A 19,210-nucleotide genomic window follows, 5' to 3' on the forward strand; every position below is an offset into this window, starting at 1 on the left:
TTGGGCCCAGGAATTTGATGCTTCAGTGAGCTGTAATAATTTCACTGGAATCTATCCTGGGTGACAGAGTGAAACCCTGTTTTCCTGGCCAAAAAAATAAATATATAAATAAATGTCACATTAACCATAGCTGCAGATCTCAGTTTATGGTATATATTAAGCAGTTCACCTTTATCTTTTAATGTGACTTTTCTCTTCCTCTTGGGAGCACTTTTAAAATTACTAGTGGCATTTCATATAATTTCCATGGCATTTTTCATGATTTACAGCATTGCATTAAATATGATGAAAAATATTGGACCTGAGAAACAGAAGGTATTTCTTTTTTACTGATACAATGCAGTTTACTGGAGAGAAGAATTTCTCCTATGGAGATAATTGTTAGTGTCCCATGACTTTTTAGACATATACTCACAACAGCTGATCTCACTGCAATATCAACAGCAGGTGGTATGAAATTATTACAGTAGTGCAGCATGTGCTATAATCAATCTTCTTCCTTCCTTTCCCCTTCCCTTTACCTTTCCCATACCGTTTCCTTGTATCTTTCTTTCTTTCCTTTCTTTCTTCTTTCTTTATTTTCACAGGGTCTCATGCTCTTGCCCTGGCTGGAGTGCAGCACTGCAATCATGACCCACTGCAGCCTTGATCTCCTAGGGCTCAGACGATTCTCCCATCTCAGCTTCCCCAGTTGCTGGGATTACAAGCATGCCCCATCATGCTCAGCTAATTTTTGTATTTTTTGTAGAAATGGATTTTGCCATGTTGCTCAGGCTGGTGTTGAACTCCTGAGCTCAAGCAGTCCTCCCATCTTGGCCTTCTGTAGTGCTGGGATTATAGGGGTGAGCTACTGCACGTAGCTTACTAAAGTTTAATCTTATGCTGTATGATTTCATACTATATCTTTACATTTGTTTACATTTTCCTTGACTGCAAGTGGCTCTGTGTACAGCTGTCATCTGTGCATGTTTTGATAAATTTTAATGTTTTATCACAGATTTATGTTCATTTTATAGTTGTCCATTTCACAATAGAGTAGTATCTACATACATTCATGCATTCATGAAATCCCTACTTTTCTGTCAATTTTTTTCAATATTTCTATGCTGTGAAGCTGGTGAGCTTTTTTTTTACATTCTTGCAACTTTCTACCTCCAAAATGTCTAATATATTTCTTGCCAAAAAGTTTCCACATATAAGTGGATCCATGTAGTTGAAGCCTGTTTCCTTGTTTCAGGGACAACTATATTTGGATCAACGGTAAGAATACAGGAGGTGGTAATTTGGAATCAAGATAAAATAAAAGGAAGTACACAGAGGAAAAGTAGAACCATTATTGAAAGTTTAATACTTATTGCTGTTTGTGATATATTCTTGCAGTACAGATCTCACCTGTGTGTTTATTCAATAAGTATTTTTGACCCATAACCTAGGTGCTAGAGATAAACAAAGAAGGCATGGTTTTACTCTGAGAGAGTCTATATAATGTTGGGAATTTACTTAAGCTGATTTCTTCATTGTTAGTCTATAGCAGAGGACATGAAAAATTCTAACTTACTTGCATAAGATGGCCACAGAGAAAAGGAATTCATTCACCATAAAGAAGGAAACTTACAGAATTTTACTTTATTTTATTTTCAACAAAATTTTCGTATGTCTCCCACCTTTTTATGAAGATTTGGGTTTTTACTGTTATTATTGCTTAATGTAATACTATGATCTTATCTGGAATGACTCTTATTTTTGTTTTAATCAGAATTGATCATAAAATGTCAAGTACTCACATGAACTGTAAACTGAGGCACAGGCTATAATGAGTGAGATTGGCACTATCAAGAAAGCTATTTGTATGGGAGAGAAGGAGAGATGAGTCCTGATTCAAATAAGGCTTGGGTACCACTGCTGGGCAGGCCTCTTATTTATCCACCTGTCCAACTGTGCCTAATTTCCTTTTACTTAAAAAAGAAAAGTGTGTATATGTATATGCTTAGTCCTCCCATCTTGGCCTCCTATAGTGCTGCCTCATCTATGTCTATCTATGCACGTTTTATTATTTTTAATTTATAATGGACAAATAACAATTGTACATATTTATAGGATACAAAGAGATATTTCAATGAATATATACGTAGTACAATAATGAAATTGATGAAATAATTAGCATATTCATTAACCATTTGTTATTAACTTTAGTCATTTATCATTTCCTTGTGTTGACATTCTAACATTACTCTGCCACGATCATGAAATATACAATACACTGCTTGTTGCTATAGTCACCCTACTGGGTAGATAGCACCAAATCTGATTTTTCATGTCTAATGCTAACTTTGTACCTACTGACCAATCCGGTCTTTCTCAGTCCTCTACCTTGCTCATTCTCTGGTAACAACTATTCTACCCTGCTTCTGTATAAAATTCACTTAGGTTCTGCATATGAGTGACAACATGTGTTGTTTAATTTTCTGTGTGTGGCTTACTTCACTTATCATAATGTCTTCCAGCTTTTTCCATGTTTCAGCAAATGAAAGGATTTAATACTGTTTTATGGCTTAATAGTGTTTCATTGAATGTATATGCCATATTTTCTTTATCCATTAATCACTAGGCAATTAGGTTGATTCCCTATCTTGGCTTTTGTGAATATTGCTGCAGTAAACATAGGTGTGCAGACGTGTTTCTGATATACTTCGTTTTTTTTTTACAGCTACATATACAGCAATTACTTTGCTGAGTCAGATGGTTATTGTAGTTTTAATTTTTAAAGTAAACTCCATACTATTTTTCATAGTGTTTATATTACTTTCCTTCACATCAACAGTGTGTTAGAATTGTCTTTTCTCTGTATTCTCATCTCATTAGTTATGTTTTGTCTTTTTAATAATATTAATTCTTATGAATATTATGTTATTCTTATTAATATTAGTTATTAATCCTGATTAACATTAATTATTAATTTTATATTATTAATTCTTACTGGAGTAAGATGGTATCTCACTGTGGTTTTGACTTGCATTTTTCTGATTATTAGTGATGTTAAGCATTTTTCATATATTTATTGGTCATACCTAAAAATCTATTAGGTATTTTTCCCATTTTTTAATTACATAATTTTTTCCTATTGCATGTATATTTTAATATTTATCATACATAATGTATAACTAATTTTACGGACTTAAAGTGTGTTTTGAAAATAGGGGAAAAAGTCACATTGTTTAGCAATCAAAATAATTTTGAAGGAGTTCTGCTATCACCATTTCCCCTCCTATGGCAACTTTATTTGTTCATTATTTATTAGTTTATAGTTTTATTTATTAGTTTATTGTGTATGCATCTAACGTTTATGCACACACATAAAAATATGAATGCATATGCAACTGCCCTCATAACAAATTTACTTAGTAAGCACACTTTTCTATACTAGCTTACTAATATATTATCCTACATGTGTACACTAAGAACTTTTTTGTTTTGTTATAGTTGTGTAATATTTCAGAGTTTGGATGTTTCTTTTTTATTTTTATTTATTCATTTTTTGGTCCCTATTCTGTAGCTTCTGTTATTTTTATTAAAAAAATTGAGCTTTTGAAGATGGGTGCATGATGGTTATTTTGCTTAATTTTCTCTGTATTCTCATCAGTATTAGTTACTTTTTGCTTTTTTTATAGTATTAATCCTTACTGGAGTAAGATGGTATCTCACTGTGGTTTTGCCTTGCATTTTGCTTAATGTTTGAGTGTATTCAGTTGTTTCTGTTTTTTTTTGTTGTTGTTGATTTAATCCTGTAAGTGAGCACCTAGCACTTTATAAACATTAGTCTAAATACCATACAAGGTAAGACCTGCCGTATAAATGAAGTGAAGCTCAGACTCATAGGCAAAATGAGAGAAATATACAAATAACCATGTCTATTGTAGTGCTTTGTGATGTCTCAGCTGTGGACAAATTGTCTAGTCTGAGTGATTATTAAAATGCAGATTATTGGGCCCCACCCTAGAACTACTGAAACGGAATCTATTTTTATGGGGCACAGAAATCTGTATTTATAAATGACCACTCAAGATTATAAAAAGGCAATGATGAATTATTAGATTTACTGAATATTGGTAAGAAGAGTGGGTACCACTTACTGAGGACTCCGTGTATGCAGAATTGAACAAGTTGCTCTGCATATATTACCCATATAGTGCTATCCAAAACCCCAAATATGTAAAAAGTGTGAATTAGGTGGTATTTCATGACAGGCTTCCCTGCAGGAGGTCAGCCAGTGTTCGTGCTATGCCTTCTCTCATACTATAATATACAGCACTGGGGTTTGCCACCAAATTGCCTTCTTGGGTTCTCCCCAATGGCAAAACAATATATTAATAATTATTAATAATATTAATATATTATGCATTGCAATATATTGATTAATTAATATATAATATATTATTAATATAATATTACATTAATATAATCATATTAATTGTATATTAATTATTTTAAAATATATTATTAATGTATTATATCAATTACATTATGAATCATATATTAATTATATACTTACAATTATATATTTATATATAATTATATAAATAATTATATGTATTATTTATATTAGCAATAACATATTAACATATTATAATTAATACATAATAATATAAGCTAAATATATAATATATGCTTAATAGATTATAATATATTAATAACATATAATGATTACTATATCACAATATAGTAATACTAATATTAATATACTGTTAGTTATAATATATTAATAATTATATAATGTATGATATGTTAATTAGTATGTATCATGATATATTAATAAATATATAATTATTAATAAATAATGTAAAATATATTAATAAATAATGTATCATCCTATATTAATAATTAATATATCATATTATATAGTTACTGCAGTATAATAATATTTAATATAGTGTGATATATTAATGATTAATATAGTGATATATTAATGATTAATATAGTATGATATATACTGTATTATATATCATACTCCCAAAAATGTTTGTCAATCTATGCTCTAAAAAAAGTCTGTTAATAAACATTTAAATTAAATTAATATAGTATATTATACTATGTTATATATCATACTATATTAAGCATTAATATATCATACTATATTATCATACTATATATCATACTATATTATATAATATACTATGTTAATTATTAATATATCATGATATATTAATACATTTCTAGAAGAAGCTTGATGTCCTCACATCCTTTTTGAAGCCTCCATGGTCTCTAAAGTCCTCTTCCACTATATTCAAATAAGTTATTTTGTCTTTTTTATACTACTTAACAGTGTTGATCTCTTGCGAGAAGAAGCCTTTATCTGGAGCCAGCTCCATAATTTATTCTGTGTTGGATATTATGTTTCTTGAGTTGGAAGGTGAATATATTTAAAAATATAAAATAAATTATAGAAAAATATGATTTTTATTTAATTCATACACTTAGAGGTTCTATTTGCCAGAATACAAACTTTCTTTAATTTTTGGCAAATTAGCATTCCTATGAGATTACTTTGACCATATATAATTGTGATAAAAATAGCAAATTATAAAAAAAAACACAATGTCCAGATAAGATGGCTCTTGCCTGTAACCTGGCATTTTGGGAGGCTGAAGCAGGAGAATCACTTGAGGCCAGGAGTTCAAGAGCAGTGTGGGCAACATAGTGAGACCTCATTTCTATAAAAACTTTAAAAAATTAGCTGGGCATGGTTTGTGTGCCTAGAGCCAGGTTCTCATAAGACTGCAGCGGAAAGATTGCTTGAGCCCAAGTGTTTGAGACTGACCTAGGCAACATAGTGAGACATTTTCTGTACAGAAAATAATTAGCTAGGCATGGAGATGTGTGTTCTTAACCCCAGCTAATCTAAAGGCTGAGGCAAGAGAAGCTCGTGAGGCCAGGAGTTTGAGACAAGCATGGCAACTGAGGAAGACCCTATTTCTACAAAAAACAGAAAATTACATGGGTGTGGTGGCATATGGCTGTTGTCCCACTTACTTGTGAGGCTGAGGCAAGAGTTTGTTTGAGTCTAGGACACTGATTCTGCCAGTGAGCCATGACTGTATCACAGCATTCCACCCTGTGTGACAAGAGCAAGACCCAGTCTCTAAGAAAATAATAAAATAAAAATAACAGGAATATGTCAGCAAAATGGCAGACTCGGTAGTTCCAAGCATTTGTATCTACACAAAAAGAAGTAGTAGTCTAAATCAACTTTGTAAGAGTTCTGGAAAACAGTCAAAGGTTTGTAGTAACCAAGGAAATGTACAGTCAAGGAAAGATGGCTGGGCATGGTGGCTTATTACCTTTATTCTTGTGATTCGGTTTCTCAAAAAATTGGCAAATCATTAACAGACACAATTTTTTTAGAGCATAGATTGGCAAACATTTTTGGTAGAGGGCCAGAAAGTAAGTATTTTAGGTTTTGCAGAATATACTCTGTTTCCAGTATTCAGCTCTGCAGAAAAGCAGCTATAGACAACAGGTGAACAAATAGATGTGGCTGTGTCCCTTTAATAGTTTACTTATAGAACTAGTCCACCGATAAGACACGGTCTCTGGGCCACAGTTGGCCAATCCCTGGCCTAAAACAGTAGTTTCTGAAGACTTTATAGTTTTACTACTCTTGGCAATTTTGTTTTTCTTTTTCTTTTTCCCTTTTTAATTTTTTTATAGAGATAGTGCCTCACTGTGTTGCCCAGGCTGATCTTGAGCTTCTGTGCTGAAGCAATCCTCTTGCCTTGGCCACCCAAATTGTTGCGATTACAGACATGGGCTACCATATGTAGCCTGAACAGTTTCTTGTTCTTCTAAAACTATATCAGGAAATGGACCTGAATTAAAATAAATTTTATTTGAGATTTTGGAGAATTTTAAAATGCCCTTTGATAATTTATGAAGCCTTGAATTAGCCATAAAATCACAGTTGGTAATTGCTACTTGAAGCAGGATTGTGAATATTTTTAAATGCTACTTTTAATCTTATTAAATGAAACATTATTAAATGGAAAGGCATTGGACTTTTGCATTTACTTAAGGCTTAAGATGAAATATCAGTGGAATGCAGAAGACATAAAAATATCAAAAGAAAGAAAAAGGGGAAAATATTAAAAAAAAAACAGAAATAATTAGCTACTATTTTGGAATTTTAGCAAATATTGCATAGTATAGTTAATAATGACAGTCCATGTTTTAGATTTTCCACAACAGCCTATGTGCACATACATATTTTTACCACTTGTATTCTTTGGTTTAAAGTATATGGTCAAACTCTTTATCACATAGAGAAGAATCTATAACAAAAAAAGATTTTTTTCCCTAATGATTTTGTAGTGAGTATAAGAAAGAGACATGGGACCCACTGAATTTCTTTAATAATTTATTGCTTTTTATAATAAGATTAGGAATAGAATTTAGATATTCTTAAACCAGTTTAAACTGAATCACAAGAATAAAGGTAATAAGCCACCATGCCCAGCCATCTTTCCTTGACTGTACATTTCCTTGGTTACTACAAACCTTTGACTGTTTTTCAGAACTCTTACAAAGTTGATTTAGACTGCTACTTCTTTTTGTGTAGATACAAATGCTTGGAGCTACTGAATAGTTCTTTAATTACTTAGGTAGAATGTCCTAAAAATAGCAAGTAGGTTGCAGGCAAGTTATGCAGTTGTTATCCTTGTTTATGAGGCTGGCACTGGGCTGGCTGCTTCCCAGATATCATCTCATGGATGGAAGTATTTTTTTTTTTTTTTTGAGACAGAGTTTTGTTCTTGGTGCCCAGGCTGGAGTGCAATGCCCTGATCTTGGCTCACTGCAACCTCTGCCTCCCATTTTCAAATAATTCTCCTGCCTCAGCCTCCTGTGGGTAGCTGGGACTACAGGCACTTGCCACGATGCCTGGCTAATTTTTGTATTTTTAGTAGGGATGGGGTTTCATCATGTTGATCAGGCTGGTCTCAAACTCCTGACCTCAGGTGATCCTCCTGCCTCGGCCTCCCAAAGTGCTGAGATTATATGCATGAGCCATAGCGCCTGGCCCCCCACATGAAAGTATTGTTGCATCCATGTTTGATGGGGAAACAGTTGTTAGTTTACTAAGGTCATGTAGCCAGGAGAGGCAGGTATGGGTTTAAATATTTCTGACTTCAAAACCATGTAAAATGTGTCAAAATATATATCAATAAATATATCAGATATTCAAATATATTTTTTCAAGTGTTTCTTTTTGTTTGTTTCTTTATTTTTCTTTTGGTTGGGGGAAAGTGTCTTACTCTGTTGCCCTGGCTGGAGTACAGTGGCACAATCATGGCTCACTGCAGCCTCAAACTCCCAGGCTCAAGGGATCCTCCTGCCCCAACCTCCTAATTATCTGAGTCTGCAGGCATGCCCCTCCACGTCTTGCTAATTTTTAAATTTTTTTTGTATTTTCAGGACCTCCTTATGTTGCCCAGCCTGGTCTTGAAGTCCTGGTTTCCAGTAATTTGCCTGCCTCAGCCTCCCAAATTATTGGGATTACAGGTGTGAGCCACTGTGCCTGGACTGTTTTCAAATATGCCTTGACATGAAGTTATTAGAAATAAAAAGACTTATTGGTTATAACATGTGGTCTAGTAAAGTGAGATCTATAGTTGGAGCAGGTTTATTGAAAATTCAGTTGTATGACTTTTCCAGAAAGGGAGAAGTAGTCAAGTTGAGCTATAGTTACCTTACATATGAATCTTTTTGTTTTCTCTAACATTTTATTCAGTTCAGTATAATTGATAATAAAAATATTTAAGTACAATTATTGAGTTCATAACACCGTATTTTAAATCATACTACCCTTAAAGTAATATTCCCTTATACCAAGCATTTTTGATACTTTGTTTACCTTTTGTTCTTTTATATGCCATGAGATATTGGAAGGATTCCTTTATTCCATACAACACACGACTCATTGGTCTTCTTAAGGTCTTGAACTTCTTACTAAATATCACTAATTTCTATTTACAAAGTGATTTCCTTCTAAGAAAGTTTTTTTAGAAACTTCATTTCTTCTCATTGTATAAATTTATAAAACTGATTAGTACACTTTCACTGTTAAAAAAAAAAAAGTTCAGCAGTTTTGGTAAAGCGAAAAAAAAAAAAGCCATTCCCAACTCTTGTGGTCAAACATTCCTTAGAATGCTATTTGATCTAGCATTTTCTTCAGACTTTTTTAATAATTGAAATTGTGGAAAGATTAAAACAATATTATAAATTGTTGCTGAATGTTTAAATGGATTTTCTCTGTTGAGAATATGTTTTCAATATTATTTCCTTTTCTTTTTTTCTGCTCCTGAAAGTTTGATTTTCATCGTAAAACAAAGTTGGTACACCAACTAGGACTTAGTTGGCAGTATGAAGAAGCAAGAAAGAGGTAAGACAGCCCATTTCAAAAATAATTCCTTCTGCTTACCTGCTTTTTCCAATAGAGAGAAATTTAACATAATTTATTTTGCTAGTGATATTAAAACTCTACCTGAAGATGGCTGTTTCCATGCCTTAACAGAAAATAACTTGTCATAAATTCTGCTTTTGCCCCTAAATAATCTTTATTTTTTAAAATCATATTATGTTTGTAGTGATCATCACTATGCTTCTTCCAGTTTTCTTTTGTAAACTTTCTCTTTTTGATTATATCTGTTTTTCCAAGGTATATTTAACAGAATAATAGAACATTACCTCCCTAAAAACATAATTAATATAGTTGTCAATCTTGGTACTACTGACATTTGTAGTATATTTGTATTGTGGGGAACTGTTTCATGCACTATGGGATGTTTAGCAGTTACCCTGGTCTCTACATACTAAATGCCAGTAGCTTTCCTTCTCCCAAAAATGCATCCATGCATCGTCTCATGAAATGGGGCATAAAATTGTTTCTAGTTGAGAACCATTGCTTTAAAACCATTTGATACGTTATTAGACATAATTATTTTTAATTATTTTTAAAATTTTGCCTTAACATTTTCTTAATTACTCATCTATGTCTGACATTGTGAACATATTGCTACTATAAGGTTATATGTCAAATTTAATAACCTTAGCAAAGCACTCATAAAATGCATTAAAACATCAATTTTTCAGGAGCTGTTGCTGAAACTCATACTGGTAGAATATACAAAAAAGCTCTTACAATAAAGACAGCTTTAAAAACCTTTGCCTGAACTTTAAAACTTTTAAAAATGAAGTTTATTACTTTTGGAAAATTAAAAGTAGTAATACATATTCTTAGAATATTGGGGAAATCAGAAGCAAAAGAAAAAAATTGTAAAATGTCACCTGCATTCTCAACAACCAAAAAGGCCATGGTTAATGTTTAGTGCATTTTTTCCCTCCTTTTAAGACTTAAAAATTACACTTCTCAGGCAATATTCTGGTTTCTTTTTTCAATGCAGATCCCCAAGCATTCTTAGGTACGGTGAGTCTATTATCTTATGGCACTGGAACATTCCACTTGTGGAGAGTATGTTTATAATTCATACTAAAAATCTACTATGTGTCAATACTGTCTTCGGGGCTGGAGTTCAGGGATGACAGTTTGCAGTCTCTTCTTCATAAGCTTTGTAAATCTACAGTCTGTTGTTTCATTGCTGGCATTTTGGTAACCAATTAAGATTGCTGTTCCAAGCAGGCAGTGGATTCATTTTGTAGAGAGGTGCATCACTTTCTTGCTGGTTCTTTCATTCAACTGCCTTTGGCCTGTTTCTAAACTTTGTTTTACAAAGTGTGAAGCATTTATATTAAATCTTTTTTATAGAGTTTCAAACTGGCCATGTATTTTGATAGTAAAACATATACATGCAGATGGATGTTTCCTCTTCTGAGGAGAACAATACTTTCCCTTTTGGAGTAGCAAGGGTTACAGCTCAGATCTCCATTTCTGACCCTAGGTAAGTGGCAGACAGAACCTGATACACTGACATTTACTACATCTACTCATTCTTTCATTCATGTGTGTATTTGGCAAACACCTGTTTTATGTCCACTGAGTGCTTGTCATTGTCCAGCAGTGGGAGTGTACTGGTAAGCAACAAACAGTTCATTGAGCTAGTAGCTGTTAGCAGTAAGTTTAGAAGAGATATAACCTTATTTTTTATTGTAGCAAGTGGACAAAGTGTTCACTAAGTTGTATTTGGTTGTATAAAGGTTTAAATTAATTTGAGTAATCAGTTCCATTTTGGGGTTTGTTGCTTCATCCAAGCTTGACATTTATTGTGGTTATTGAAATAGAATTCCTGTTATATGTGAATTTTAGAGTCAGTCAGTCTATGAAACTGAGCCTAAAGTGTATGTTGACTGTCCCCTCTGATCTGCCATGTCTTCTTACCTTACCGCTTAAAAATTAAACCATCTTCATTTAAGAAAGACATACATGGTGTATATCATGCAGGATCTAACTTTGAAAACATGTTGCCTTCTGTATATGGCTGAATCACATCTCATTGGATATGGTAAAATTTAACTGACCTACATAATATGCAGGTATTTGCCCAGCATGCTATCTGTTCCCCTGAACCAAAAGATTAAAATTCCAACATAAGGAATCTAATCTTGGAAAAATATCTTGATACTGATGAATTTAATTTACATACGACTTAAAGTAATTTGAGTTTCTAGCACTGCATTGAGCTGTATTTCTAATGAGTTTATGCTGACCCTCTTTGTATCACCTTTCCTCTGGAGACAGAAATAGTCTGGTTGTTAGTATAACAATGGTACTTTCCTTGAGAAATTCACAAAGACAGTCTAAGAAGGGGAAAATCCACCTTTTCTAGGCCTATTTCATTGGTTCCAATTGTCATATTTGAGATTAAGCTGCATTTCTATGCTGTTTGCCTGGGCTCATCATATTAATTTCTTGTTCCTTTCAAGATTCATAATGCCATATGGGCCTGTTATAAGTTAGTGTGTAAAAAGAAAAACAATTTATTAAAGTCATTGGGCAGCTAAGTGACTTTCTTGTCATGTCAACCTCCAGCCCATGATGAAGTAAAGGAACATAAGAAAACCAGAGTGGAGGACCCTGGGCTGTTTGGAGTCAAGCAGAGAAGCAGTGAATGTCCCCAAAGGGGCTATCTTGGTCTGGCCTATCTTGCCAGACTTTAAAGTAAAACTTATTCTTAAACTAAGAATGCTTTCCATTATTAAAATATTAGGACATTTCCATAAGCTTGGGGTCTTTATTTAGTTACTTAGCATCGTTAACTCAACCAGAAATATCTTATAACCTAGAGAGCCCATAGAATGTAAGCAGGCTTAGATTTATCCAGCTGTTAATCAAGATGGAGTCACTCTGGTTAGGATGCCTCTGACACTAAGAGATGTGATGACCCCATGCCATTATCTCCAACAAAATATCAAAGTCTGTTTCCATGATTATAACAAAATACTACAGACTGGGTGGCTTTTGAACAACAGAAATGTATTTCTCATAGTTCTCCATACACTGGGAGTCCAAGATCAAGATACCAACAGATTCTGTCTTATGATGACTTTTTTTTATCTGTTTTACAGATGGCACCTTCTTTCTGTGTATCCACATGGTAAACGGCAAATGATCACCCTGAGGCCTGTTTCATAAGGACAAGAATTCTATTAATGAGATCTTCACAGTCATGAACTAATTCCCTCCCATGGATCCCACCTCTCCATACCAATGCCTTGGAGTTGAGAGTTCCAATGTATGAAATTTGGGGGAAAAAACCATTCAGTCTATAGCACAGCAATATATGTTTGCTTTGTTTTATTGTGAATCAGGAAACTAAAAATACAAAGAATACGCAATAGAGCCAAAGTCTGTAACATACTGTTACAAATATACATACTGTTTGTTTTGGTTTGGAGGCATGTCTGAAGATCACATGGAAGGAAGGGTTAGCTCAGTCACGGTAGCTTGAAACCAATATTGCCTGCCTATTTCTTCCTTCATAGCCTGTGCATGGGAGGTGAGTATGTTTGTGGACATTGTCATTGAATATAGTTTAGGCCTTTATTGAATCCAGAGGCTTAATTCTTTAATGTAGTTTTCATTTCCAGAGCCAGCAGAATCTAATTTAACCCAGTGATTCTCAAATGAGGCAACACTAGGCAATGTCTGGAGGCAGTTTTTGATGTCACAATGGAATGTGGTGCTACCGACATCTAGTGGATAGAGGCCGAGGATGCCACTGAACATCCTACAATTCAGAGTGGTCCCTGCAACAGATAATTATCTGGTCCCTAATGTCAATAATGCCGAAGATAATAAGCCCTGTGTTGGATGTTCATAAATAACCAAATGAACAGTTCTATTTATTCTGCTTTATTTATGTCCTCCTGGTAACAGGGGAACAGGACACTGCAGGGGTTAAATTTGCAAATACACCAGTAAAACTCCGAAGTATCAGGATCAGTGTTCTTCTAAACTCTGACTTCAGCTAGAGTGGTATCTTGAACATGGGAGGTGCAATAAATTGGGAACAAATAAACGTGTTTCTGTGTTTGAGGCTACCTTTCATTTCTGCTGGTTAGGTTTAAAGAAACTTGGTGGTTTCTCACACTTCAGCATGCAACAGAATTTCCCAGAGGATTAAACTTCCAGGTTAAACCCAGTTTTCTGGGGCCTAATGCAGAGCTACTGATCCCTGAAGTATGGGATGTGACCCAAAAATGTGCATTTATAATAAGCTCCCAGGTGATGACACTGTTGCTGGCTTGGGAACTACAACTTGAGAACCACTGAAGTCAATTTATGCTTCAGTCTTGAGGAGATGGCATTAATGACATTGTGATCATCCCTGCTTTCTAAGTGTATAGCTGTTTCCCCTTTCCTTTAAAATAGTAAGGCAGTATCAGTTTTTACTGAAATTTCCAGTTAATGCATACCTGTTCTTGGCAGGAAGGAGGGGCTCAGGTTCTGTTGATAACCAAACAGTAGAGAGTTCTTCAGCTTTAAATGCTCTCTGTTTTTTACTTAAAAGGTTAGACTGGAATATTTCCCCCTTCAAATAAAGCAATTCTGCCCTTAACACCCACTCACATCACAGAGCCCCCATGAGGTCTTCCTGTGAAGATCTGGGTGCTGAAATTGGCTCCAAATGTTCTTCAAGAAGTGAAATCACACATGCTCTCTTGCTCTACATCTTTTAAACAAACACAGATGCTGCTGCATTAGTTCTAGCAAGGGATCCCTTTCTGCAGAGCGTTTCATCTCCTTTGGCTTCCTGCCAGGGCAGATGCATCTTTGGCCAGCTCTCATGATTCATGTGCTCACTGGCCATGCACCTTCCCTGCTCAGGATGGTCACAAGCCTGAGCTCCACTCATTGGCCTGGATCAGCTGCAGCATTTCTCAGACCTAGGTTTCAAGTCCATCAGGAAACTGGACCAGGAACCAGAATGCTGCAACCTAGAAGTCTCCAGTGGCTAATAATGAATTTGGGTGAGATTTTCCCTATGCAGTTTCTGTTCACAGGTAAAAGGAAAGGTGGGTAAGGGAGAAGGCATCAGATTTTTCCCAAGCCCTGCCAGGTGGTCCTCTAATAAGAGTCTGGACAGGGTAGCTTTTGCAGAAGGGCCCAGTTGCTTGAATTTATAATTCACTGGATTCCCTTTAATTGCTACTCAAAGGGGCTGCAAGTTCAGACACTTCATTAAAAACATTATTTTTTTCAGTTTACATCACTAGAACCCTGCCAGATGAGAAGTTGACTTCTTCTGGGTTGATGTTTATCTGAGTTTTGTTATAATTACTGTCACAATTATTATGAAAATTATAATTATTATACACAATTCTTATTACAACCCAGGGCATAATATACAAACATATGGAAGGCAGCTTCAAATTTGTATTCCCACAGTGTGATCTTAACCAGTTTAATTTATAGATGTGCAGCCACAGAACTTCTAACAGAAAGAGATCAGGTCTATTTTAGGCAGTTACCTTATCTTGTGATACTTTCTCCAAGGTAAAAATAAGAAAGCAAAAACAGGAAGATTTTTTTGGCTGGGGGTAAAGGGTAAAGATGATGTTACGGTAGATTCATCCCTGTAGAAAACTTGCAATCTCTCTCTACATTTTTTTTCAAAACAATGTAGAAATGATCAACATGTAACTGAGAATCTAAATTGACTGACTAGAGAGGGTTAAAAAGGGAATCAACAGTGGTCCATTCTAAGATGGCTGAATAGGAATAGCTCCAGTCTGCAGCTCCCAGTGTGATCGATGCAGAAGATGGGTGATTTTGGCATTCCCAACAGAGGTACCTGGTTCATCTCCTTGGAACTGGTTGGACAGTGGGTGCAGCTCACAGAGGGTGAGCCAAAGCAGGGCAAGGCATCATCTCATGTGGGAAGCACAGGGGTTGGGGGATTTCCCTTTCCTAGCCACAGGAAGCCATGACAGACTGTACCTGAAGAAACAGAACACTCCTGCCCAAATACTGCACTTTTCAATGGTTTTAGCAACTGGGAGACCAGGAGATTCCCTCCCATGCTTGGCTTGGTGGGTCCCACACCCAGGGAGCCTTGCTAACTGCTAGTGCAGCAGCCTGAGATTGACCTGCAAGGCTCCAGCCTGGCTGGGAGAGGGGCATCTGCCATTGCTGAGGCTTAAGTAGGTAAACAAAGTGGCCAGGAAGCTTAAACTGAGTGGAGCCCACCGCAGCTCAGCAAGGCCTACTGCCTCTATAGATTCCACCTCTGTGGACAAGGCATAGCTGAACAAAATGCAGCAGAAACTTCTGCAGACTTAAACATCCCTCTCTGACAGCTTGAAGAGAGCAGTGGTTCTCCCAGCATGGCGTTTGAGCTCTGAGAACAAAGAGACTGCCTCCTCAAGGAGGTTCCTGAAACCCATATAGCCTAAATGGGAGACATCTCCCAGTAAGGGCCGATGGACACCTCATACAGGTGGGTACCCCTCTGGGATAAAGCTTCCAGAGGAAGGATCAGCAATATTTGCTGTTCTGCAGCCTCTGATGGTGATACTGAGGCAAACAGGGTGTGGAGTGGACCTCCAGCAAACTCCAACAGACCTGCAGCTGAGGGACCTGATAGTTAAAAGAAAAACTAACAAACAGAAAGGAATAGCATCAACATCAACAAAAAGGACATCTACACCAAAACTCCATCTGTAGGTCACCAACATCAAAGACCAAAGATAGGTAAAACCACAAAGTTGGGCAGAAACCAGAGCAGAAAGGCTGAAAATTCTAAAAACCAGAGTGCCTCTTCTCCTCCAAAGGAACACGACTCCTCATCAGCAAGGGAACAAAGCTAAACAGAGAATGATTTTGACAAGTTGACAGAAGTAGGATTCAGAAGGTTGGTAATAACAACCTCTCCAAGCTAAAGGAGCATGTTCTAATCCATCACAAGGAAGCTAAAAACCCTGAAAAAAAGGTTAGATGAATGGCTAATGAGAATAAAAAGTGTAGAGAAGACCTTAAGTAACCTGATGGAGCTGAAAACTGGCATGAGAACTTCATGACACATGCACAAGCTTCAACAGCAGATTCAATCAAGTGGAAGAAAGGGTATCAGTGATTGAAGATCAAATTAATGAAATAAAGCAAGAAGACAAGTTTACAGAAAAAAAAAAGAGTTGAAAAGAAGTGAACGGAGCCTCCAAGAATTATGGGACTATGTGAAAAGACCAAATCTGAATCTAATTGGTGTGTACATGAAACCGATGAAGAGAATGGAACCAAGTTGGAAAACACTCTTCAGGATATTATCCAGGAGAACTTCCCCAACCTGGCAATGCAGGCCAACATTCAAATTCAGGAAATGCAGAGAACACCACAAAGATTCTCCTCAAGAAGAGCAACCCCAAGACACATAATTGTCAGATTCACGAGGTTGAAATAAAGGAAAAAATGTTAAGTGCAGCCAGAGAGAGAGGTCAGGTAACCCACAAAGGGAAGCCCATCACACTAACAGTGGATCTCTTGGCAGAAACCCTACAAGCCAGAACAGAGTTGGGGCCAATATTCAACATCCTTAAAGAAAAGAATTTTTAACCCAGAATTTCATATCCAGCCAAACAAAACTTCATAAGCGAAGAAGCTATAACATCTTTTACAGACAAGCAAATGCAGAGAGATTTTGTCATCACCAGGACTGCCTTACAAGAGCCCCTGAAGGAAGCACTAACTATGGAAAGGAACAACTGGTACCAGCCACTGCAAAAGCATGGCAAATTGTAAAGACCATCAATGCTATGAAAAAACTGCAACAATTAAAGGGGCAAAATAACCAACTAACATCATAATGACAAGGTCAAATTCACACATAACAATATTAATCTTAAATGTAAATGGGCTAAATGCCCCAATTAAAAGGCACAGATTGGCAAATTGGATAGAGTTAAGGCCCATCTGTGTGCTGTATTCAGGAGACCCATCTCACATGCAGAGACACACAAAGGCTCAAAATAAAGGCATGGAGGAAGATCTTAAAAGCAAATGGAAAGCAAAAAAAAAAAAAAAAAAAAAAAAAAAAAAACAAGGGATGCAATCCTAGTTTCTGATAAAACAGACTTTAAACCAACAAAGATCAAAAGAGACAAGGCCATTATATAATGTTAAAGGGATCAATTCAACAAGAAGAGCTAATTATCCTAAATATATATGCACCCAATACAGGAGCACCCAGATTCATAAAACAAGTCCTTAGAGACTTACAAAGAGAGTTAGACTCCCACACAATAGTAGTGGGAGACTTTAACACCCCACTGTCAATATTAGACAGATCAACGAGACAGTATGTTAACAAGGATATCCAGGAATTGAACTCAGCTCTGCACCAAGTGGACCTAATAGAATCTACAGAACTCTCCACCCCAAATCTATACAATATACATTTTTAGCACCACATCATACTTATTTTAAAATTGACCACATAGTTGGAAGTAAAGCACTCCTCAGCAAATGTAAAAGAATAGAAATCACAACAAACTGTCTCCCATACCACAGTGCAATCAAATTAGAACTCAGGATTAAGAAACTCACTCAAAACCACACAACTACATGGAAACAAACAACCTGCTCCTGAGTAACTACTGGGTAAATAACGAAATGAGGGCAGAAATAAAGATGATCTTTGAAACCAATGAGAACAAAGACACAAGGTACCAGAATCTCTGGGACACATTTAAAGCATTGTGTAGACAGAAATTTATAGCATTAAATGCCCACAAGAGAAAGCAGAAAAGATCTAAAATTGATACCCTAACATCACAATTAAAAGAACTAAAGAAACATGAGTAAATAAATTCAAAAGCTAGCTGAAGACAAGATATAACTAAAATCAGAGCAGAACTGAAGGAGATAGAGACATAAAAAACCCTTCAAAAAAAATTAATGAATCCAGGAGCTGGTATTTTGGTTTTTTGAAAAGTTAAACAAAGTTGGTAGATCATTAGCAAGACTAATAATAAAGGAAAGAGAGAAGAATCAAATAGACGCAGTAAAAAATGATAAAGGGGATAGGACCACTGTTCCCACAGAAATACAAACTACCATCAGAGGATACTATAAACACCTTTACGCAAATAAACTAGAAAATCTAGAAGAAATGGATAAATTCCTGGACACATAGACACTCCCAAGACTAAAACAGGAAGAAACTGAATCTCTGAATAGACCAACAACAGGCTCTGAAATTGAGGCAATAATTAATAGCCTACCAACCAAAAAAAGTCCAGGACCAGATGGATTCACAGCTGAATTCTACCAGTGGTACTAAGAAGAACTGGTACCATTTTCTGAAAGTATTCCAATCTATAGAAAAAAAGAGAATTCTCCCTGACTGATTTTATGATGCCATAATCATCCTGATACCAAAGCCTGGCAAAGACACAACAAAAAAAAGAGAATTTTAGACTAATATCCCTGATGAACATCAATGTGAAATACTCAATAAAATAGTTGCAAACCAAATCCAGCAGCACATCAAAAAGCTTATCCACCATGACCAATTCAGCTTCATCCCTGGGAGGCAAGGCTTGTTCAACATATGCAAATCAATAAACATAATCCAACACATAAAAAGAACCAACAACAAAAAACACATGATCATCTCAATAGATGCAGAAAAGGCCTTTGACAAAATTCAACAACACTTCATGCTAAAAACTCTCAATAAATTCTGTATTGATGGAACGTATCTCCAAA

The sequence above is a fragment of the Homo sapiens genome, chromosome Y (assembly GCF_000001405.40).
Source record: "Homo sapiens chromosome Y, GRCh38.p14 Primary Assembly".
NCBI lineage: Eukaryota > Metazoa > Chordata > Mammalia > Primates > Hominidae > Homo > Homo sapiens.